The sequence below is a fragment of the Homo sapiens genome, chromosome 12, assembly GCF_000001405.40.
Source record: "Homo sapiens chromosome 12, GRCh38.p14 Primary Assembly".
NCBI classification, from domain to species: Eukaryota; Metazoa; Chordata; class Mammalia; order Primates; family Hominidae; genus Homo; species Homo sapiens.
In genome coordinates, this window is record NC_000012.12 from 67,928,072 (window position 1) to 67,952,459 (window position 24,388).

At 39.1% G+C, this 24,388-nt stretch overlaps 1 long non-coding RNA gene across 1 annotated transcript in view; it reads left to right on the forward strand.

Moving 5' to 3' along the window:
• Positions 1-1,163: 1,163 nt before the first annotated feature.
• LINC01479 (long intergenic non-protein coding RNA 1479) overlaps positions 1,164-24,388 on the forward strand; it is a 40,783-nt gene continuing 17,558 nt past the window's right edge. The window contains exons 1-2 of the long non-coding RNA NR_120456.1: positions 1,164-1,316; positions 4,206-4,318. This is a non-coding gene — a long non-coding RNA (long intergenic non-protein coding RNA 1479). The remainder of the gene's footprint in view (positions 1,317-4,205; positions 4,319-24,388) is intronic.

Here is a 24,388-nt window from a genome sequence, read left to right on the forward strand (position 1 = left end):
TTTTGTTTCTTTGTAGGCACAGTATGTGCTTATTAGATATAAAAGCTAATGGATTAACTAATTCCTTTAGCCTTTCCAAAATAGAGGTTTCATGGAACTATCTAGGCCCATAACAAATGTTTCTGTGATGAAACAAACTCAGGAAACTGTATATTTTCTTTTTCCCTTAAAGCTTCACAGAATGCATCATCTCATTAAAAGCTCCAGAAACCCTACAAAGAAGAAACCTTACCTGGTATCCCCCAAACTAAGATTGATAGATTTCCACTGGTTTGTAAAAGAGATTCTTATTCTGAGAAGTTCTCATGGCTCTTAAAAAGAAGTCACCTTCTCATTGTATAGACTTAGACACATAATTTGTACTTTTTTTTCAGATTGTTGGGTAAGTAATGACCCAGACCATTGAAGAAAATGAGGAAACTGTGCACACAGACTGATGTCTTATGTGACCAACATGCATATAAGAAATGGAAGCTTCCCCCTATCTTTCCAGAGTTCAAAAATCCTATTGCTGAATTCACCTCCAATTCCATGAAACAATATAAAAGATCCTCCATAAAGACCCCAGGTTATAATGTTTACAATTTATTTTGTACTCCTTTTCTCTGGTAATTGATGACTGCTATTATTAATGAAGACATTACAAGGAATAAAAGGGCTTGCCTGCCACTTCTCACCACAAAACCGTGTGGCATCAAACAGAATGAAATCCTTCTGACACTGACAGCTGGAGAAAACCTTGTCACCACAGTGACAGTGTCAAGTGTGGTGTGACATCTCTGTGTGTGTTTCTTTTGCACCTAATAACTTCGTTGCCAATACAGACCAAAATAATGAAAGAAAACCTGCTTTTGCCAGCCCAAAGGATTAACTGTACTGTTGAGAAAACTGCAGGAATATTTGACATGAGATCACAATTTTTAATTCTTTTCCCCCCAGGATTCTGCATGAAGTATTTTTCTATGAAGGATTTAAATAGAATTACTTTTCCTCACATTGGTCATGGAGAGAATTAAGACATTAACTGTTGATCCAATTTATACTGCCATTTGATCCCATAAGTGCTATACAGGACTCGGTTACTCATGGAAAATAGTTCCTGCCAGATCAAACACTCTCAGGGCCAAAGTCACAAGATTCTGACTTTACATGCTCTGTTCTGCCTCCTTTCATTTTGCCTCTTGGATTGTCATGAACTTCCTGAGCAAGAAGGCCATCCACCATGCAGTGTAATGTCTTGCTAAGAGAAATTAGTATTCAGTCTGCTCAGGTTCCAGCAAGGACTTTCTTCATGAAGATCTTCAAGTGGAATCAAGGTAGGAACTGTTATCCTTTTCAGTCCTTGTGCTATTCATTCACACCTTGGAACAAAAACAAAGCTGAACTCTTTAGAGGGGAAAATTGATACCGCATGGTTTCTGGTGTATCTGCAACTTTTGGCTCTGGTTTGGAAAAGGGTGTGTATGTGTCATGCACACATGTCTATTTCATCCTATCTGACAAATACCTTTGTGAATTGCTTTGTTGACTATTTGGGTGTTACTGCAGGTTACAAATTTCTAAGAGGGCTGGGAGACGTCTTTAAATCCCATAGGCATTGGATCATGTGTCCTCTAGTGGCCATGAACACTAGTTTTAGATGAAAGGTCTCATTTTCAGATAAGTATGAGGAATACTTTATTTTCAGCCCTCTCTTTTAAGAGGCATAAAATCTTTTAGTGCTGAAAACACTTGTACTACCTATAATAAAGAATTATGTTTAAGTCAGTGTGTTCCTAATTTGACTATGGAATTCAAACTTCTTGTAAGAGTCCACAGACCAGGTAAGACTTAAAGATTTGCCAACATTCAAAACCTCTGAAAAATAACCCATTACTTGGCAGCTAGGTGATCTCCCTCCTAATTTATCTGGCTCTATTTTCTTTTCTCTACCATCACCAATAGCATCTTTCTAATCCCTCACTCGGATCTTCTCATTCCTCCATTCATTAGAATACCAGTTCATTTCTTCAATAAACATGCCAAATAGGAGTGGCTCTAACAAGACGGGAAGTTTTTTCTGATGTGACAGTCTGTATATTTGCAGTCCAGGACTTGAATGGTGACAGCAAGAGGACAGAGGCTCCAGGTTCCTTTTGTTTTAGTGCTCTGCCATGTGTAGGGTGTTTCCCATCCAAATGTTCCAAGATGTCTTACCACTGTGTCTGTATTCCAGGCAATGGGAAGGAGGGAAGGTGAAGGGGAGAGAATTTTCCTTCCTTGCAAGAGCATCATCTGCAAGTTGTGTTTCTGCTCACACCCCATTGACAGAGCTTTATTGCTTGATCACAGCTAGCTGCAAACGAGGCTAGGAGATGTTTTAGTCAGTCTGGTAGCCTTTGTCACACTACAATTTCTATGTTAGAGGAGAGAGAGAGAGAACATATATTAGGGAATAGCTAACCATCTCTGCTACACCTATGACCTTCCATTTGTCTCTTACAATGAGTTTGTGAAGTTAGAATTTTTATCCCAAGTTTTCCACTGAGAAAAATAAAGCTCATAAACCTGAAATAATTTTAATATTGTCACCATGTTAAGAATGATTAAGGGTGTGAAGTTTTGTCTGCTTCCAAGCTAACAAGGGAGCCGCCACAATTGCATGGATTCTTGCAGAAGACACAGATTCCTGAGTCAGACACAGAGGACTTTATCACTCATGGCACAGCAAGCAGCATCAGCTCCAATATTCATGTAGGTTCTTCTTGTCCTCCAAATCCTATGGGGCATTAGGGGGTGGCCAAGGTAGATGCTGCAAACGCAGTCGGTTTGCACCAAAGGTGAAAAACCCCGAGCTTAGGAAACTACAAGCTTTTAAAGAGGCTATAAGGAAACCTGCCCAACTTTTTCCTTAGAAGGAAACCTTTTTTTTAGTATCCTAGTTAAGAAACAAATCTCTCTGCTTGAGAGAGGCACGCTACCTCTAACCTCCAAGAAGTTCACCATACAAATATTCTTGGAAGGCAGTCCCAAATAAAAGTCTCTTTGTTGACAAGGCTTGCAGAAACATGAGACACCCCTGGACATTTTTTTTCCCAACACACAGATAGTCTTGCTATCTTCATTACAATAAAGGTACTTCTTCAAGAAATCTCCCACTGACCATGCCTCCATCATCAGGGCAGTTCTCACTTTTTATTGTAATTGTTCACACCTCTGGATCTCCATATTGGAATATCAGTTCCTTGAAGGCAGGGGCTATGGCTTTGCTTTTATATCCCTAGCACCTAACACATTACTTGGAATATGGAACATGTTCAACAACTATTTTGAATGAAGTATATTAGAATAAGATTTACTTAAGGGATAGAACAAATCAGCAAGCATTACATGTTATTGAATCCACTTGAGGTTCTCTTTGTATGGATCCTAGGGTAGGTGGCTAATTTTTATGATTCAGGCCTCAAATACCACTCCCCTGACCACTGTATTTAAAACATCATTCTAGATAAGTCTAATGATAAGCACTTGTCACTACCTAATATTATTCTGCTTGTTTATTTAGGTATCTGACTCCCCTTCTAGAATAGAAACCCATGACTTCAAGGACTTGCCTATCTAGTTCATGACTATATTTCTATACTCTAAAATAGTGTCGGGCCTAAAATAGAAGTTTCATAGGTATTTTTGAATGAATAAGTGAATGAGTAAATTCAGCAAACATTCACTAAGTTTATACCATCTGCTAGGAACAAAATGTTTTACCATGTCACAGTGGCCCACAAAGAATACTGTTACTTTGGACAACTGAAACAATTCAATATCTGGGTTGAGTTGAGTGGCAGCATCACTTTTGTTGGGGCAGTGAGCTTCCATTCCTCACTACAGATATTCCACTGCTGGCTTGAGCTGGGTCCTGAACACTGTCCTTTCCTGGTCTTGCTGGCGAAGGCATCCTGTGCCAGCAGGCAGCTTCATTGCCTTCCTCTCCTCTCCGAGCCCCTACGTAGCCATCCTGCTTATCAGGTGCACACAGTTCTGGTCAGGTAGCCTCAGGGAGCCCATCTGATTGGCTCTGTGGGTCCCCACACCTCCAAGAACTCCATGCCTTTCATATGATGCTTAACCATTTGTTTATCCTCATTCTTACCTGGGCAGCAGGTAGCTATCAGACCCTCTCTCACCTTTCCTTTACTCTTCTTCCACCTCTACTTGATCTCCTGTAGCAGCCTTGCCCATGAAGTCATGCCTGTGGCTCCACTGAGAAATTCGATTAAGTATTCCAATACTGCTGTGAAACGAAGTGATCTGATTCCGGTGAGACAATTTATCTTGCAAGGTATATCAATACTCATTTTATTCATTATTTACCCATTTCCAAAAATGATGTGAAGTGGGAAAATGTCAATGTTGAACAACAAAAATAGTAAAATCCCTTTGGGGGGAAGATCATTATAATTTGTTTAAATGCTGACAAATATTGATATCAATGGTAAACGTAGAAGTGGGGCATGAGGGAAATTACCAGAGGGAAATGACTAGGATATTTTTCAAGCCATCATTGATTCAAAATGAATTATGAGAGTAGAGCTTTGCATGGAAAATTAAAGGCCTAATACTAAAAATAATTATTAAGCATTTTCTTACTTTTGTAGATGAAGAAGTTACCTCAGAGAAGTCAAATAATTTACCCAGAGTCACAAAATAAGCAAATGATGGAATATTCAAATCCAGGTCTTCTGACTCTACCTCTATCTGCCTTAGAGGTTTCTGAAGTATTGATAAGATGGAGGCTGGAAGAGCTTGAAACAGACCATATAAAGCCAGGTCTGAGCTGGAAAAGCAAAGAGGCCCAAGGAACAGCACAGACCCTGACTGGTGGGGTATCTGTGTATTTTAAATAACAAATACAACAAAGATTCAAGGTTCAGCATGTACCCAGATGTTTCCATTATTGATATATATATGCCAGTTTAAAATATTTAAATGGAAAACAGTTTGTGTCCACTTCATTTTAGAACTATGCCAGTTACAGGAATCACCCCAGTATCAGTTATGTCTTACTCATGTCAAAGAACCAGGGTCAGAAGAAAAAAATCTCCAGTAAAGATCCTTGCAACTCAGGAACACTCTTTCCTCTGAATACTGCTATGAACTAGAGTTAAAAGAAAGCATTTTTTAAAAGAAATGATTTATTCGTTCCTCATGATAAACATATCAAAACATCACATTGTACCACATAAATATATGCAATTATTTGGTTAACTGAAAATAAAATAAAATTTAAAAAGAAATAGAACGAACCTGAGTTAAACCCTGAGTTAAATGACTTTTTAACAAAATTCAATGGATTTAGTTTGAATTCATGTTTGCCCATATAATGAATAGAGTGTTATTTATGACAACATCCAGAAGAACAGATCTCAGGGGTTGGCTTTATTACAGTATGTTAGTTTAAATTAATTTGCCACTATTCCCTACAGTTATTCTTTAGTCTTCCCCTGAAGATTTACACACACACACACACACACACACACACACACACACACACACACCTCCTTCCAGAAATGTAAGAAATATCTTTACCCTCATCCTATCCTATCTTTAAGATGCCAACTTCTAGCTTTGTAAGTAGGAAGGATTAAAACATGAGAAAGAAAAGTAGGCCTAACTTGTCATGAAAATAAAATATATGGTCAAAGCCCATACCAAATAATAATGCCTGTATTTTTCCAGATATGAAGTTCCTCTTTTTTGCTCTTAAATGGGTTGAGAGATTGTGATAGGTAGTGGGGGGAAAAAGCATTTAGGGCCCTGAATTTTGTATTATGGTGTTTTTGCTACTAGAAAACACATGTCTCAATGGTGAATATTTTTAAAAAGTTACTATTTCAATTTAACTAGACCCTTAAAAATAATAGAGGTTCATCAACAAGTGGCATAAAGAGAGGAACAACAAACATTGGGGCCTACTTGAGAATGAGGGATGGGAGAGGGAGAGGATCAGAAAGAATAACTATTGGGCACCAGGCTTAGTACCTGGGTGAAAAAATAATCTGTATAACAAGCCCCCACGACACAAGTTTACCCATATAACAAACCTGCACATTTACCCTTGAACCTAAAATAAAAGTTAAAAACAAACAAACAAAAAACAAACCTAGAGGCTCACCTGCTTCCATTCCAAGTGAAATGTCAAAATTTGTATTCTTTTCTCCCGCTTAATGAAAGTCTGGCATTAAAAAATCCAGAGTCCACTCTAGCATTGTTGCCATGTGTTCTAATAATGCATTTTTCACACCAGCAAACTCATAGAAAGTGTGGTGAAATACTGTTTTATTTCACCACACTTTCATGAGAGCCATCCTTCACCTGGTATGAAATGACCATGCTAGATTCTGTTTCACAGCCAAAAAACATGATTATTACATTGTGTGTATGGGGTTAACCTTGATTATTCTTATTCACCACACCAAGAAATTACTCCAAACCTAAACTGATCCAGTTAATAAGACTGCAATTAAAACCAAGAAAAAAAATTATAAACTTATTTTCTAGTTCTCAGAAAATATCTGAGAAGGAAAATTGACTCCAGAGACACAAATGGCCTAATGGAATAATTAAAATTATAATTAAATAAAACCAAGTCATCCCAGGCCTACTTAGCTGTACAACTCCCTCCAGGATTATCATGTCATTAGGGGAGGGAGGATGAAGAAATCACTTTTCAGGATTTCTTAGTGTAAGAGAGTTCTCCAGACTTTCAAAGCCTGAGAAGAGACCAAGGAGAAATAAATATCAGGACAGATGAAGCTGACATTACAGCCCTGCCCAGTCATTTCTACTTTACCATTGACAGCTGTGTGGCCAAGGAAATTGACCTTGCACCCTTTATCTTTAATTTCCTCATCTCTAAAATTTCTCGGACAATAGCAACATGAATCACAGAGTTGCTATGAAGATTAAGTGTAACCAGGTATAATAAGTGCTATGGGCATATTCAGTATTGGATATCTCTATTCATATGAGGAAGACATCAAATGGTATAAAGAGTATTCCAGAACAGCTGAAGATGGTGACAATAGTGAATGCACTGAGCCAGGTGTCAATGGTAGGAGAGTTTCTGGAGAGAGTTGGAATTGCAAATTGGAAAAGCCTCCCTGTAAGCTGAATGTGGGACTCTGGGAATGGAGGGAGGAGGTGAAGCCTCAAGCAGCTTTCTCTGTCTCCCATTAAGTGCAGACCCCAGGAAGCTGGTCACTGATAAGGAGAGGGGCATTGAAAATGGGGAGAAGCCTGGTAAGGAAAAGGGTTCCCTTTGCATAGGCCACATAGTCTATTCTCCCAGCTTAGCAAGTGTCCCAAGGTTGGCCGGGTGTGGTGGCTCACGCCCGTAATCCCAGTACTTAGGGAGGGTGAGGTGGGCGGATCACCTGAGGTCAGGAGTTCAAGACCAGCCTGGCCAACATGGTGAAACCCTGTCTCTTCTGAAAATACAAAAATTAGCCGGGTGTGGTGGTACGCACCTGTAATCCCAGCTACTTGGGAGGCTGAGGCAGGAGAATTGCTTGAACCTGGGAGTGAAGGTCGCAGTGAGCCAAGACCACACCGTTGCACTCCAGCCAGGGCAACAAGAGCAAGACTACACCTCACAACAACAACAACAACAACAACAACAACAAAACAGTGACCTAAGGTCTCTAGCTTTCTATTTCTTTAAATTATTGTTTAAAAATCATTAGTGAAAAACTACCTATTGGGTACAACATACACTACTTGGGTAAAAGGTGCAATAAAATCCTATACTTCACCACTGTATAATTCATTCACGTAACCAAAACCTCTTGTACCCCTAAAGCCATTGAAATATAATTTTTAAATAAAAAAATCAAACAAATAAAAATCATTAGCTACCACACTGATTAGGATAGCTAGCCACAATGATAGAAAATAACAAATGCCGACAGGGATGTGGAGAAACTGGACCCCTCCTACACTGCTGGTGGGAATGTAAAATTGGGCAGCCTCTTTGTAGCACAGGTTGGCAATTCTTCAAAGGTTAAACATGGAGTTACCGTATAACTCAATTCTACTCCTAGGCATAAACCCAAGGTCATTGAAAACAGATTTCCACACAAAACCTTGTACAAGCATGTCCATAGAAGCATTACACATAACAGCCCCAAAGTAAAAACAACTCAAATGTCTATCATTGATGAGTAGATAAACAAAACTTAGTATATCCATACAATGGAATAGTATTTATCCATAAAAGGGAATGAAGTACTCACCTTAAAAAACATTATGCTAAATGAAAAAAGCTAGTCATAAAAGGCCACATATTGTATGATTCAATTTTACATGAAATGTCCAGAAAAGGCAAATCCAGAGAGATAGAAAGTAGATTAATGGTTACCAGGGGCTGGGGAAGGAAGGGGATAGGGACTGGTTGCTAATGTGTATGTGATTTCTTTTTGAGGTGATTAAAATGTTCTGAAATTAGTGAATATGGTCTTACAACTGTGAATATGCATATATATATATATATATATATATATATATATATATATATATATATCTTTTTTTTTTTTTTTTGAGATGGAGTCTCGCTCTGTCACCTAGGCTGGAGTGCAGTGGTGCAGTCTCAGCTCACTGCAAGCTCTGCCTCCTGGGTTCACACCATTCTTCTGCCTCAGCCTCCCGAGTAGCTGGGACTACAGGCGCCCGCCACCACACCCGGCTAATTTTTTTCTGTATTTTTAGCAGAGACGGGGTTTCACAGCGTTAGCCACGATGGTCTCGATCTCCTGACCTCGTGATCCACCCGCCTCAGCCTCCCAAAGTGCTGGGATTACAGGCATGAGCCACCGTGCCTGGCCAACTGTGAATATATTAAAAATCATGGTGTGTGCTTTAGAAAGGTGAATTGTGAATTAGATCTCAAAAAAGCATGAGAAAAAAATCAGTACCCCATTTAACAAATTATATTAAACTAAACCGAAGGCAAATAAAAGCCAAGGTTTTACAAATGCTTTAGTGAGCCTACACAAGTCATTCATTCCTGTTACTTAATTTTCCTCAACTGGAGGAAGAAAAGAACCACACTTGCCACCTACATTTGTGATAAGACCTGAGTATATTTTTTAAACATCTGTGTTTTTCAGCCAAAGGTTATATACAAATACTAGGTGTTGTTATTATGAAACTGGCAACACTGAACACTGAGTAACTTTAAATAGAGTCACCATGTGGCAGTTGAGTCTTAGACATATGCACTGCTGTTCGTTTCTCACAGCAAGTGAGTGGCCCATTTGATGTACTGTGGCTCTGAGTGGGTCATCCATGGGGGCAAAGCTTGGGAGACACATAGTTTTGAGATTCAAACCGTAGGTGATTCCTCTAGTTGTCATGGTGTCCTGAATATTAAGTTCAGTTTTCAAAACAGACAGTCCACAAAATTGTCAACTCTGATGATCCTTTTAGAAAATAACCTAGGGCATTCTTCATCGCACCTGGAAGAAGGATGGTCCTTAAGAGGGGCTGTTCACATCCCTTTTTGTGTAATCAAAAGATCTTGATTCTCTTCCTTCAGATTTCTTTCAAGGAAGTAGAAAGAATAAGATTCTGGAATGTGGAAAGGGTAACTACTCCTCTTTTCTTGATGGCGAATGTTGTTAGTTTAACCTTCTATGGAAAGAAAGGGCAATGTAGGAAGTGCAGTGAATCCTCAGTTCCAAACAGCCATTGCAAATGGTGACTGCCTACCGTTAACCCACTGTAAACAAGTGCATTTCTAACACAATAATCTCCCTGCACCTCACTTGTAATTTACACAAACAAATTTAAGATCCACACAGTGTAGAAGCCAAAGCAGGGAGACAAAGCCACTGTCTACTCTCCCCACATTCTTTGTCCCAACCCCATCCCTTGTTGCTGGGCAGGTGCACAGGAGAGAGGGTGCGTGCACCTTTGTACAGTGGAGAAGCACACACCTGCTTCCTGCACCCCCTGGTGTCTCTCAGAACCACCAGCCAGAGGAGAGGTAAAGCTGAATTGCATGTTGCACTGAAAGGGCTGGGATCTAGTGACCCATCTCTCCACTCCAGTCTTTCACTCCCTTCAACACAGCTATAGAAGTGGAAATGAAAGAGAGGCAAAGACTGATATGGAAATCTAAACATAAGCAATGAATGATTTGTATCTTTAGGGAAACTTTCTCTTCCCACATTTTCCTCTTATCTCATAGAAGAAGGAATCTCCATCATGACTCTCAGAAACACCAAAAAGGAAAGATCCACCATCTCAATTCCTCTTTACTTGCTCTTCTTTACGGAAATGGGAATAATAATCTGATTGGTTAATTTGCCTCAAATCAGCAGACTGGATTCTGCTGCTATCTAGGGTACCGGGAAGCAAATGGGGGCTAGGTTTGACAAACGCTGGATGCCTGTGTTCAGTGATGGTGGACATCAATGGTGGAAGGCTTCCAACCTTCATGCGACAAGCAGACCAAGCACTGGGTTTAACAGTTGAAGATGAGAAGCTACAAGGCAAGCAAAAACCAGCAGCCAAGGGTGAGAGTAGAGAGAAGGGGGAAAGAGGCAGCGTGGAGCTATTCTAGAATACATGACTTTTATATAGTTTATAACAGACTACCTTCAGCTGGATTGAACAAAAAAAAACTGTCTTAAAAACAGTCTTTCCTTCTCCCAAAATAAATTTGGAGATAGATGAGCCAGGAAGTATAATGTTCTCCACAATCATCAGGGAATGAGAATCTTTCTGTTTTCCACTCTACCTACTTGGCCTGTAGCTTTTGTTTTCAAGGTCACTTCAAGGTTGAAAGATGGCCACTAGAGCTCTAGACATGGCACCCTGTCCCAGGGCAATAGGAAAATAGAAGGAGCCAGAGGAAGGACACACATCCCAGCTGAACTGAAGTTACACTGGGAACCCCACCTACCAACTTCTGCTAGCATCTCATTGGCCACTTCCAGCTGCAAGGTAGATTGGGATGTGGAGTCTTATCTAGACACAGTAGTGGCCTGAATAACATCATATGGGGTCACAGTGCATTAGTAAGGAAGAAGTGGATGCCTGATGAGTTCCAGGGAGCAATCAGATTAACCACATCTGCTCCTATGGGGAGGAGAAAGCAGAAGATGGAGAGGTTAAGACTCACTCCATAATACATTTATGAGAGATCAAAAGAATTGGCAAAATTTTCTTTCTCTGTAATCTAAAGGTGAGTAGAAAATTAAGGGAGTTCTCTGAATAAATTAAGACCATTACCTCATTACAAATATGCACACACACTTGCAAAAGTAGACCCACTTTTCATGGACAAATGCCAAGAAAAGAACAAGGTTAGAGAGGAAAAGGCTTCCTTCTACAGCTATATCTTCCCGTAAAACATTGTGGAGGGTGTATGTGTGTATGTGAAAGAGAGAGGGAGAGAGAGTAATGGAGTGGTGGTACTATTTTATTCAGAGAACGTTCTTAACTTTCTATGTACTTTTACATGTATCAACACAATCTAACCCTACTGAGCTCCTATTATAAAAATTAATCACCAAGGTTAGGGCACAGTTTGTTCCTGTGAAAGGACATTCCCAAAGAACAGATGTGGGGAGGACAGCCTTTCCTCTGGGTCCTATCACTAAGTTAATGGTCAGAATTCATGCTGTGGAGTGAACAGCCCATCACAGTCTGAGGCATTACCATGGAGGATGAGCTTTAGGGAACAATGGGATAAAGACAGACCAGACAGGACAGGCCGTCCAGAACACTGCCCAGAAAAATTCCCACCACCTCTGCCAGCTCCTAAACTGCCCGTGTAGGGAGATTTCTGCTGTTACACCATCAGCTGGTTTATCTTGTCTGCATGGCATGTTGAGAGAAGGCTGTTTGGGGGCCAGCTAAGTCAGTTTCTCTAGCTGCTGAAATAGCTTTCATAAAAATAGAGTTACAAAACTAATGTTAACGCTTGGGCTGTATACTGTCTTTTTCAGAAAAATAATGGTTATTATAAACAAGGAACAGTAAAGGTTTCTGGGAGAAAATATAATAGAAAAGTTGTCCTGGCACCCTTTGGAGAAGGTAATGGGACTCTCTCATGACCTTTGTTTCAGAATTGCTTTGTAATTCTGGTAAGATAGACACTAAATTGTCATTTCTGGACTGTATAGACACACTAAATTGTCATTACTGGAAGTATATACACAAACATGCAAAAATGGACCCATTTTAAAATAAGCAAATACAAGGGCCAAAATGTTCGATTACAGGTTCATGATGGATTTTTATTTTTTTAATTATACAAATGCTTATATTTTTCTAACAACAATTTCATTCGAAGAAAAGTCAGTTGATAAATTTTAAGGTTGTATTTATTACTCCTATTGGTTTTTGAAAAGTGTTCATTCAATCTAGGTGTTTTTAGAGTATCAGCTTTTGAACTCAGGGTTCTCAATCTTGAAAGCATAATGGTAAAAGTCCTGCTTTCATTTATTTAAGTGTTCTCAGAGACTACAATTGCCAATATAAATTTGAAAAAACAAAATTTACAGTACCATCGCTTTTTGGTAACAAATACTATATGCAAATCCACTTGTAAAACTATCTTACAAGTATTTTCTTAACAATGTTCTGCAACTAGTAGTTATGTTTTGAGGTGCCCAGCAAAGGAAAACGAATCCATCCACTTTGTGCCAGTCAGTAACAACCACAACAGAGCAGCTGATGTTGTTAACAATGCCCCTATTAGCTAAGGATCAGAAATGTTGTGACATTAGTTTCTGGGATCATGTCAGGATTGAATTAGACTGACTCATCTCAGGTCCTGGTGCTCTCTTAATTCTTTGGTCAGCAGGAATTAGTCCTACCAAGCTTTATCTTGGTCATACCGAACATTGTCCTCAAGCATAAGTTAAGTAGCCCTGCTATAGGATCACATTTGTCAGAAGTTTTCTCCTCTGTGCTTGGCTAAATTCCCACTGTCCATTTGCAAAAGGAGTGGTTTATGCAATTTGATTACTTTTAAGAGCTGTCTCACCTCCAAATGCCTGCTCAAGGGAACTCAGTGACACCAACTAAGAGGCATGTGAGTGTTAAGGTTTAGAGTTGCCCGTGTTTGCTTTCTGATACAGGAATGCCGGAAGAAGCTGAGTGCTGGATGAAGGTGAAAGAGATTATCAGTACCAGAGAGCCAGCTCTTCCCTTCTTCCCCGGAAATTGAGTTGTCAGCAGCCAGTTCAAAGCAGACATGTGAGAAAATCACCATGTCTTTTTATTTTAATGGAAATAACTTAAATAGTTGTCTTGCAGGAAACATGTTTTAAAAATTGATCTTTCTGGGGTTGAGGGAAGCTGGCTATGAGCAGGGGGTCAGCCGACTTATTACTTATTACCTATTACAGTAGAGTGCTTAATAACTTTTCCTTATCTCCCCTCAAGGGGAATATTCATTAGTAGATCAGAAGATAGTGTTACTAACTTATAGCATATCCATAATCTATAGCATATATAGAGGCCAAATTTTACCTCTGATTTATCCAATTGCTTAATGGTTTTAAACCAGATTCACATGGAACCCTTTTTAAAAGCACATTGCCTCTCCATCCCAGGAGGTTGAGATTCTTTAAGTTTGGCGAGGAATCTGTATTTTAACAAGTGTATTGATAATTTCAAAGTATGCCAAAGTTTGAAACCCGCTTAGGTTAGGGACAGGTCAATATGAGAGAAAATAGTCATCTTGATTTACTCTAATAGCTTTATCATTTAGATTAAAACATACACCCAATCCGTTAATAAAAATGTTAAAATCAAGGTTTTTTAAACTCTAGGTAAACATTGCGTGAATCCTTTAGTGCTTCAATTTAGCTAAACCATAAAGTAAGTAGAAACTATGAAGATTCCTGTCTGCAAAGATGGTAAAATGCTAGTTCAAACGTCATGCCTCTGGGAAAACTCCTTGTAAATCTCATCGTCCTTTGTGGAACTCAAGTCTTCTTTTTGGTTCCTGGCTAGTAGCAAATTGTATTTACATGTTTTATCCGTGGCCACACCAATTGTGAACTTCTTGCGGGACAGACATGTTTCTATCTCCTCCCTCCTTCAACAAAGCATCACGCACACAGTAAACCCGAATAATGTGTGCTGATTTTCACTCTGTTATAGGTTTCCTAAAGTGATTTACCACTTATTTTAGAAAATTATGGACACACACAGAAGATTTAGATGAAATTACTGTAACATTTTAAATATTTGTTTGAATTTGGAAGTACATTAAACTCTTTAAGAAAAGATGTTTCCTAATCTCCAGTTATTTCTCTCAGGAAAGAAAAACACAGTAATTTGCCTAAAAGCTTACCCTTAATTTAGGTGTTGATTTAGCGTCTCCTCTAAATACAATCCCCCTTCTCTGCTGTGTAACTGTTTTTAAAAGGATTGGCAATGGATGAATAAACAACTCCTTTAACAAACATTTGAAGACCCCATCCAAACACATACACACACACAACATAAAATCTCTTTCCACATCAATTTAGTGAGCCCTTAATTTTGCTTTCTAAGCACACAATATTATAAACCACAAAACACACACAACCAGTTTAACTCCTGCTGAAATGACATGAGAAGATTCTACTGAAATGCTTAGGGAAACTGGTAATTGTGTGCTGAATTTACTATAGGCTACACCACTAGAAGAGCTATAAGTAGCAACAGTAGCAAATGTTGAGCAGTCACTTTCCTCAACTTGTCCCTGTCCTTAGGGAGCTCACAGTATGTGGCGAAGACAGATACATGAACCATTAATTACCATGTAAGGCAAAAAAAATGGCACATGGAAGAAGATGCAGCTGTGTTCTGGGAACAAGGCAAAAAGAACTGCCTGCGGTCACGTTTGACAGACTAGAAAACATTTGATCTGCCTTGAAGGATGCATAGGAGTAGGAGTTCACTCAAAGATATTCCACTAAGAATAGGCATTATGTTCATCCAGCTTGCTTTTCAGGTAGTTCAGGTTAAAACAGGCTCTAAAAAAAGTTTAACAAGAAAATATATGAACTGAGGAAGGATTAGATGCAAACAGCCCAGCCAGTACATTTAGACCACATAAAATCCAGTTATGCTCATGAAAATGCAGGCAGCAGGATGTCCAATTTAATAGGAGAGGAAGAAAAGGAAGGGCACATAAAATAGAAAGGATTTATTCATTTTCCCCAATAAAGGCTAAGCACTTTCGTAGGTTCTTTTTAATTCATGAACTTTCCAATTCATATTCCAGGTACTAATCCTGCTGTTCTAAAATAGCTGTTGTGGATAACGGGATTTTATGTAGGCCACATGTCCTTAATTTTTATTTCTGCCTCACTCAGCTCAATGTCTACTCAAATTTGTTGGTCATAAACCAGGTATTTAATTAGATTACTTAGCGACACCTAGTGACCGAGATCGGAACCAAGTGCTATTTTAATACAGTGGAGTGTGTGCCTCTGTTATTGTCATGCTTTAGCCCAAGACAGCCCTCATTATTCCAAGTTCTCTTTTCAACCCATTTCATCCCAATGATACTAAAGCAAACCCATGCCCAGTTTGGCCTGAAAAACAACTAATTAGAGAGAGGAAGTGAGAAAGAGAAGAACAAGGGAGAGAGGGAAGGAGGTGATTGAGGGAATAGGTTGGAATCACAGAAGAGACAAGATCAGCAATGAAGGCTTCTATTTTTATGTATTTATTTGGCTGTGTTCATATCAAGAAATGGAAAGAAAGGTAAGACCACCTTGAAGCAGAGAAGGAATGAGAACCAGGGGCAGTCCAAACAAAGGCTCAATTCATATTTTGTTTCTCTCTTTTCCACTTGTATTTGAAAGGGCAGAATAAACATGTTTTGATGATTTTGAAATCCAAGATAGATCCAAATTTAAATGTTTTTAAACAAAAGATAGTTCTCATTGTCATAAATTATAAAATGCCTTTCTCACTTTGCAATTCCTGTTCTTTCATCCCTGTCTATGCATCTTTTTATATCAATTTGTTTTTCCCACTAAATGGATCTATTCGGATGGAGTCATTACTGAGTTGGCATTGCTCTAAAAATAAGCTGATGATTTGCTATCTGCAGTACGTGCTGTCAAAAAAAAAATCAACCAAAGTAACAAAGCAAAATAAACATAGTAATTAACACGTTAAATTAAAAATCAAAATATAACAAAAATACTAGAAGACAATGTGAGTCACGTGACAATTTTAAATGAGTTGAAGGTGCTGATTCTAGGCAAATTCCAACCAAGGGTTCAGAGGGAATCACAAAAGAAAGTGCTGTTATACATTTTTGAGAAAATACAGAGAACATGAACAATGCTAAAGGACTGAATTCTAAAACAGATTTTTAAGAATGCAGACAAGTGAGCCCTCAACTGTAAACATGACGCTGGCACAGCCAATTAAGCAGCGGTCTTTCCCTGCTGTGGTCCAGCCCCTTTGCCAACAGTGGGGTTCACACCCTACAAGTTGAGACCCTTGCAGGCTCCGGGTCCACTGAAACTAACTGAAACATAAGGAGTGACTTGCTCCTTGGAGTTGGAATCCACAGATGATGTTATACAGACTAGCCCTGATTCTGAGGCCAGAGGTCCCAGTGGGCTCCACTGCTCCAGGGTGCAGACATGGCACTGGACCATCATTCTCCCTATTTTTCTCCCCTACCCAGTTAGCCATTATGTTTTATTGTATTTGTACAGACATTTATATAGATTTCTACCATCCCATTGCATTGTAATAATATATTGTCATGTCTGTTTTTCTTCTGTTAAACTATGACTTTCATGGGTGGAGTCACGCTGTGTAGTCTTTGACTACTAGCCCAGCCTATTTAATTGTTAATTAAATGTTAACTGAGCATCTAGTATGCACTGTGCACTGAAGTGGGCTTTGGGGATACAATGAAGAAGATGTATGTCCTGGCCTCAAACTACTTAAAATCTGGTGGAAAATACAAGGAAGACTTTACTTCATTTTGGTATGTTTTAGTAAGTGCTAAGATGGGGGTAAGCACAGAGTTCTGGGAGCACAGAGTAATGCCACTGGATTTACAGTTTGTGAACGAGTGTGGGAAGGCTTCCTGGAGGAGGAGGGGCTGAGGAAGGAGCATGGGAAGGGCATTCTGGGTAGCACAAAGCCTCAAAGACATAAACTAGCACAACATACGCTCTCACATGAGATCTAGTTGTCTGCCTGTCACTGGTCACTTCCCCTACAAGCCCATTATCCACATTGTCCCCAGAGTGGTCTTATCAACATGCAGATATGCAATATAAAGATCTTTCCATAATCGAGTTTCTTTGATGCCTCCACATTACCTGCAGAAAAAAAAATCTAGCTTTTTTTTTTTTTTTGTGAGACGGAGTCTCGCTCTGTCACTAGGCTGGAGTGCAGTGGCGCGATCTGGGCTTACTGCAACCTCCACCTCCTGGGTTCAAGCAATTCTCCTGCCTCAGCCTCCTGAGTAGCTGGGACTACGGGCATGTGCCATCACACCCAGCTCATTTTTTGTATTTTTAGTAGAGATGGGGTTTCACCATGTTGGCCAGGATGGTCTCAAACTCCAGACCTCGTGATCCACCTGCCTCGGCCTCCCAAAGTGCTGGGATTACAGGCGTGAGCCACCGCGCCCGGCCAAAAATCCAGCTTCTTAACATAACCTGTAAATCCCATCTCACCTCACTGAGCCCAGGTGCCTACTGTGGTGCAGTGCGGTACATTGTGCAAAATATTTTTGGATGAACAAATGAAAGTTGAATAAATGGCTCATGAATTGTAGACAGGATGAAAATAGCAAGAATACAAGAAGATTATTCCATTTCTATAGGCCATAATCCTCCCACATACCATCCTCACAGGGCTTTATCAGGTGGCCAAAAAACATCAGGGTAACAAACGGTCAAAACATTATTAATGATAAAAGCACACTTTAGGCTATTTCTTTCTCTGCAGCTCACTTTAGTCTGGAAATGGCTTTGAGTATCTGAAATGTTATTCGTACTTTATACTTTTGTTTAAGCTTCCATTTCTTCAGTACTTACTGCACACCATAATATCCCAGGCGTTTTTCCTGCATTTATCTTAGTAAAAATCCATAAACTAGAAATGAAGGAGGTGCTATGGAAACCTCATTTTTCCAGAGAAAGAGATGAGCATTTAGAGGTTAAGGGACTGCAGAATGTCACAGTCGATAATTGGTAGAGCAGAAATTTGAATCCAGGACTGTCTAACTGTAGCATCCATGTTCTTAAATATTCAATGTGCCGGATGGATCAGCTTGATCTAAGCCCCACGTGGATCAGGAGAAAGGGGACACTAAGGCTGTATAGTTATGACATGAGGACTTGCCCCCAAAGGAGCAGCAACCAGAATTCTAATCTCCACTGTTGCAAGCTCAGGCTCCATGCAAACCAGCATCAGTATCTATATGCAGGAGAATCCAATCCAGCAGCTGGGATGCAGAATTGGAGGCAATTCAAATATAAGCGGTCTTCAAGGTCATACTATTCCTTGGGTCACGGTTTCAAAGGACATAGCTATGTGAAGTTGTGTCACCACAGTGAACTGGGACGATGAAACCCAAGGTTTGAGACACAGAGGAAGGGGCAAGGAGTAGACAGGGAACCAGCACCACCTTCCCCACACATCATCAAGCCAACTTGGAATTCAAGGAACTGCAATAGACAGTCAGTAGGAGAGTCCAGTTCACATAGACACCAAGTACACAGGGGCTGGTAGAAAGCTGATTTAGTGGGTACCTTGGTGCCGTCATTTGAATTTATCCCCCAAAATTCATATGGTAAAACTTAATCATCAATGTGCTTATATGAAAAGGTCGGGGGGTGGATTAGTCATGAAAATAGAGCCCTCATGAATGGGATTGAGGGCTTTATTAAGAAAGATTTGAGGGAGCTATCTCTTCTGTTTTGCCTTCCACTTTCCAACACGTAAAGACTCACTGTTCAAGGTGCCATCTTAGAAGCAGAGACTAGGCCTTCAACAGACAACAAGCTTGCCAGTGCCTCTATTTTAGACTGTCCAGCCTCCAGAACTGTGAGAAATAAATGCCTACTATTTATAAATTATCCAATTTCTGGTATTCTCTTACAGTGGCACAAGAAGACTAAGACATGAGGTGAGCCAAAGTGGTTCCAAGACACCAAAATACCAAAAGCTTATGGCAGCAAAACTAATACTAACTTCCACCTGTTGAAGTGTGGCATCTACTGGTTTCCCTATCCTACTAACGTAGTCCAGAAGGATGGGATAGGGCTGAGTCAGGTTAAAGTGAAGGATTCAGCCTCTATGGCTGAGAAGGGCTAAGAAAGGCAGAGAATGACAGTGAACATTCTTGGTGTTTAGCCAGGATCTCCCCCCAAAAAAACCCATGAAACATGACGGTGAGGTTTCAGGTGGGTGTGGGAGATATTTTGGGGAGAAGAGAACTATTCTATGGTGTCCTTAAATAATATCTGTGTAAAAGGTCCTTATTTTTGGAAGACCCTCTGTTACTTGTATTTTCAACAAATGGGTCCGAAACCCTGCCATATCAACATCATATTGCACCATAGCCAGATGCTACAAACTATGGACTTTTTTTTCACTTTTATGAGCAAATGTCACAATTACTTTTTTTAAAAAAAAAGCAAGAATAATTTTCATTCCTTGGAAAAATTTGTAAAAATGTTATCAAGATGAAAAGATTCAGAACACATTTATTTGTATGCAGCACATACACTGAGGACCAAAGCATTTGCTAAAATGAAATACACCTGTAAACAAATGTCTTAGGGAGAGTTTATAGGTGGTCAACTCCACTGTGCAAGGTATGCAGCTCATACCCTCTTTCTGAATAGACTTCTGTGATAACTAAAAAGGTCCAATTTTATCTCAAAAGATGTTAATACATTTTTAAAAGGCTTGAAATGGGCCAAATTATAATTACATATATTAAAATAGCACAAGAATTAATTGGCTTCACAAAAATACTAATGGAAAAAAAAATCTTAGGCCCATCTATTAAGAGAAGAAATGTTTGACTCCTGACTTGAAATGGGGGACATAGATATTTTGGTATAAGCTTTAAAAGATGACATATTAATTTCTGGTTCTACAAAAAGACTGACGTTAACACCCATCCTATTCTGTTCTACAGAATGCTTTGGTACAACTTCAATAAATCCTTATATACTTTAATTTGAGCCATAAATCTATGTTGCTGCATTTTGCTTTTTAAAAGAGTGAAGTCTAGGGTAAAAGCCAACCCTTCAACTCTTACACCATGTATTCACAATTATGTCTTCTGAAACCATGCAAGTTACCAGCACCAATGATTGACATTAAAATTATTCTTATATTTGAGCAGCAAATTATAAAAAAAAGATGCTATGCAATTTATGATTAGCACAATTGCTAAAATTTAAAGTAGCTCAATTGCTTTAAGATATAAAATTCAAGTTCTCCCCATATTTATATACCTAATAAATACTTTCTTTAGCTTCTGAGAGAGAGAATCCTCTGTCAAAGAAGAACATACTGCAGTTTTCCTTGTGAAAAATTAGTTTGAATGTAAGTTCTCAGCTTAAAAAACATTAAATTTTAATAAATCATGGAATTTTAAAGTCAGAAAGGACCCTGGAGATCACTTAGTCCAACTTTTTTCTTTTTTTTTTTTTTTTTTGGAGGCGGAGTCTCGCGGTGTCCCAGGCTGGAGTGCAATGGCCAATCTCTGCTCACCGCAATCTCCACCTCCTGGGTTCACACCATTCTCCTGCCTCAGCCTCCCGAGTAGCTGGGACTACAGGCACCCACCACCACGCCTGGCTAATTTTTTGTATTTTTAGTGGAGACGGGGTTTCAATGTGTTAGCCAGGATGGTCTCGATCTCCTGACCTCGTGATCCGCCCGCCTCCACCTCCCAAAGTGCTGGGATTACAGGTGTGAGCCACCACACCCCGCCAGTCCAACCTATTCTTTTCGGACGGGACGAATGAGGCCAATAAAGGGGAAATGACTTGTCTAAGGTCACACAGAAACAGAGGCTAGACCCTAGCAATCTCATCAGCAAGATATCTTGCAAGCTATGTTTCCAAACTTTTCTGGTTTTATTTGCTCTCATTCATTAAATTCAAAAACATCAGGCACACAGCAATATGATAAACATAGACTTTTACTTCAATTTTCAAGTCAGAACATTAAAACGATTCCTGAGAGTTTAACTACCTGCATTTTATTGAGAATGCAGTCAAGAGTAAATTATGACTAGCTATTGTGATTATCCTCAAGTACACACATAAATTACCTTAATGTATTATACTGGGTGGCATAAATTTTGCATTTCAGGTATGTATACTGTGGCGGCTTTTATTTATATTATGCTTGCCTGTAAAGTATTATAAGCATATCACAAATTTGACCTTTAATTCCATATCTCATGTATTAATTAAAAATAATCAGGTAATTAGATACCAAGTAAATAAAATTTTAACTCAAAATGAATTTGTATCCTTTACTTTTCTGAATACTCCAGAACAGAGATATCATTCATTCTTGTTTCTTCCAGATATGCATACTACCTGCATCTAGGACATATTATAAACTTGTAAACCATATTTGAGGGTACAAGGACAAAAATCAGATGCATGTTCATACTTAACAGTCCTACATTCAACTGCTGCCTTTTCTTAATACTGAACAAATAGTAACATTTTTATTAATTTTTTTTGGTCAAAAGGTTAATATTTTCAAATTGTGTAATACAATTAAATATTAAAATAAAAACATACATTACATTATATAGAGATTTAATAGCAACCTTTAAATCCTCTTACCAGCAAAAGATAATATGTTTTATTTCCTGAGAATGGAATCTGACCTGTGCTGTCTTTTACCATGGAGTTATTTTGAATGAAAACTTGCTTGGTTGAATGACAATATACAGTTGAAATATTTTGTCACCATCAATGTTAGAAATAGCCATAAAATTTATCAAATCAGTATATAAATATGCTTTTTGAGACAGTCCTGCTCTGTCACCCAGGCTGAAGTGCAGTTGTGCGATCTCAGCTCACTGCAACCTCTGCCTCCTGGGTTCAAGCGATTCTCCCACCTCAGCCTCCAGAGTAGCTGGAATTACAAGCACATGCCACAATGCCCGGCTAATTTTTGTATTTTTAGTACAGATGGGGTTTCACCATGTTGGCCAGGCTGGTCTCGAACTCCTGACCTCAAGTGATCTGCCCACCTCGACCTCCCAAAGTGCTGGGATTACAGGGGTGAGCCACCATGCCCAGCCATAAATATACTATGAAATGCGTCAAATAGGATGGATTATAGATTGATGGGGGAATGACGGGTGCACAGGTATGTGGTAGTGCAAGCAAAGTAAAATGTTCATAGCAGGATTGAGATGGTGGGTACATTAATGTTTACTCTAAAATTCTTTCAACTATGCTGTATGTTTTAAAATTTTCATAATGTGTTGGAAAAAAAGAATCTGGGAAATAAGATAAAGGCTTAAAAATTCATGGGATTTCTTCGAAATTATTTATTAGATATTTATTGTCTACAGTTTAAATAAAAATCAAGGACGGCTTTAAGAAGTCTCATAATCCTGAAAATAAGTCAACACAGAATGACCTTTTTATGAAAAAGAAAAGGGGAGATTTTAAAATATCAAAATAATTCAGGTAAAATATATCTTGAGGTAATTCAAATAATGTGTATATTACCTGGTATTTTGAGATTATATATATTTACCTAAACTGAGATTATATATATATTTACCTGAATTCTTCTGAAACTTGATACAGATAGATATGTGTGTATGTTTGTATGTATGTACAGATGTACTAGAAGCTGCAGGGAAAGAAGAGGAGTTAGAGAAGAAGTAAAAGAAACCATGAAAGAGACTATAAATATTTAAATAGGTCTGAGGGATAAGATTTCATCATTTTAGATTAGAAAAACAACCAAAAAAGTTCCTGATATATGTTGAAGAAAACCCAGGATGGATTGTTTGTTAACTATGGCACATGCAAGATATTGGCATCAATATCATGTCCACGCATGGTATCAAGATCAATATACACGTTCCTTGTTGCTGCAAGAACAGCCTGTTAGGGTCAGGTGGATTTAATATGGATTCATTCTCCCTGCAATGAATCAGAACCACTGGTGTGGCTCTAAAAAGATAGAAACCCTGAAGGGTTTACCCTTCTAAGATTCTGATGCCATAAGTCTGAAATGAGAGTTGGGCATCTGAATTGTTCTTAATGCTAGAGGAGATTGCCATGCACAGCTGGTTTCGAGTACAATTTCCTTACCCCTTAAGATGCAAACAGCAAATTATTCTTAGTCATTAGATCAGTAGACCTATAAATTTATCTTTAAATTATTAGTCCTTGCTGTGTTCTCCCATTTTGTTCAGCTCTGCTCTTAGATGAAAGGATGTTATTTTCTCCAAGGTTCCAATAAACCATCATTTCACACACAAGGAAAACACATTTATAAGATCTAATTGTAGTCTTTTTTTCTTCCCAAAAGACTTGAAATAGAGGAGAGGAAGTTAGTCTATTGGGGTTTGCAAAGGGGCCTGGCAGAGGACACAAATAGAAGGGAGAAGGATAATGCCAATTCAGAAAACCCTGGTGGAACACTTATATCTTTTGTCATGTGAATCTTTCTACAGATTTGAGGTAGAATATCATCAGCTAGTCAGGTCCAGTACAGTGGAGGGTGGTCATGAATTCCAGCATGCCTGGGAGAGTGCTGGTTTGTGACTACTCTCCCAGTATCATTAATAATGTCTTTCACTCTTTAAAGTATCCTGGTCTTTAGACAATAGATTATATGGTCACCGTAAAGAGTGTTTTGGACTGGGTGCAGTGGCTCACGCCTGTAATTCCACAACTTTGGGAGGCTGAGGCAGGCGGATCACCTGAGGTCAGGAGTTCAACATCAGCCTGGACAACATAGTGAAACCCCGTCTCTACTAAAGATATGAAAATTAGCTGGTCTTGGTGGTGTGTGCCTGTAGTCTCAGCTACTCAGGAGGCTGAGGCAGGAGAATCGCTTGAACCCAGGGGGCGGAGGTTGGAGTGAGATGAGATCCCACCACTTCACTCTAGTCTAGTCAACAGAACGAGACTCCACCTCAAAAACAACAACAACAACAACAACAAAGGCTGTTTTGGAGATCAGATTATAAATATAAATTTGGCAAGTTTCTTAATCTTACTGAGCCTTTGTACCTTCAATTGTGAATTGTTAATGTTATCTCGAAGGTTGTTGTAAGGGTTAAATTAAATGATCAAGGTGAAGTGCCTGGTCGTGAGTCTAGCTCCCTGTGAAGGCTCAGCCATCA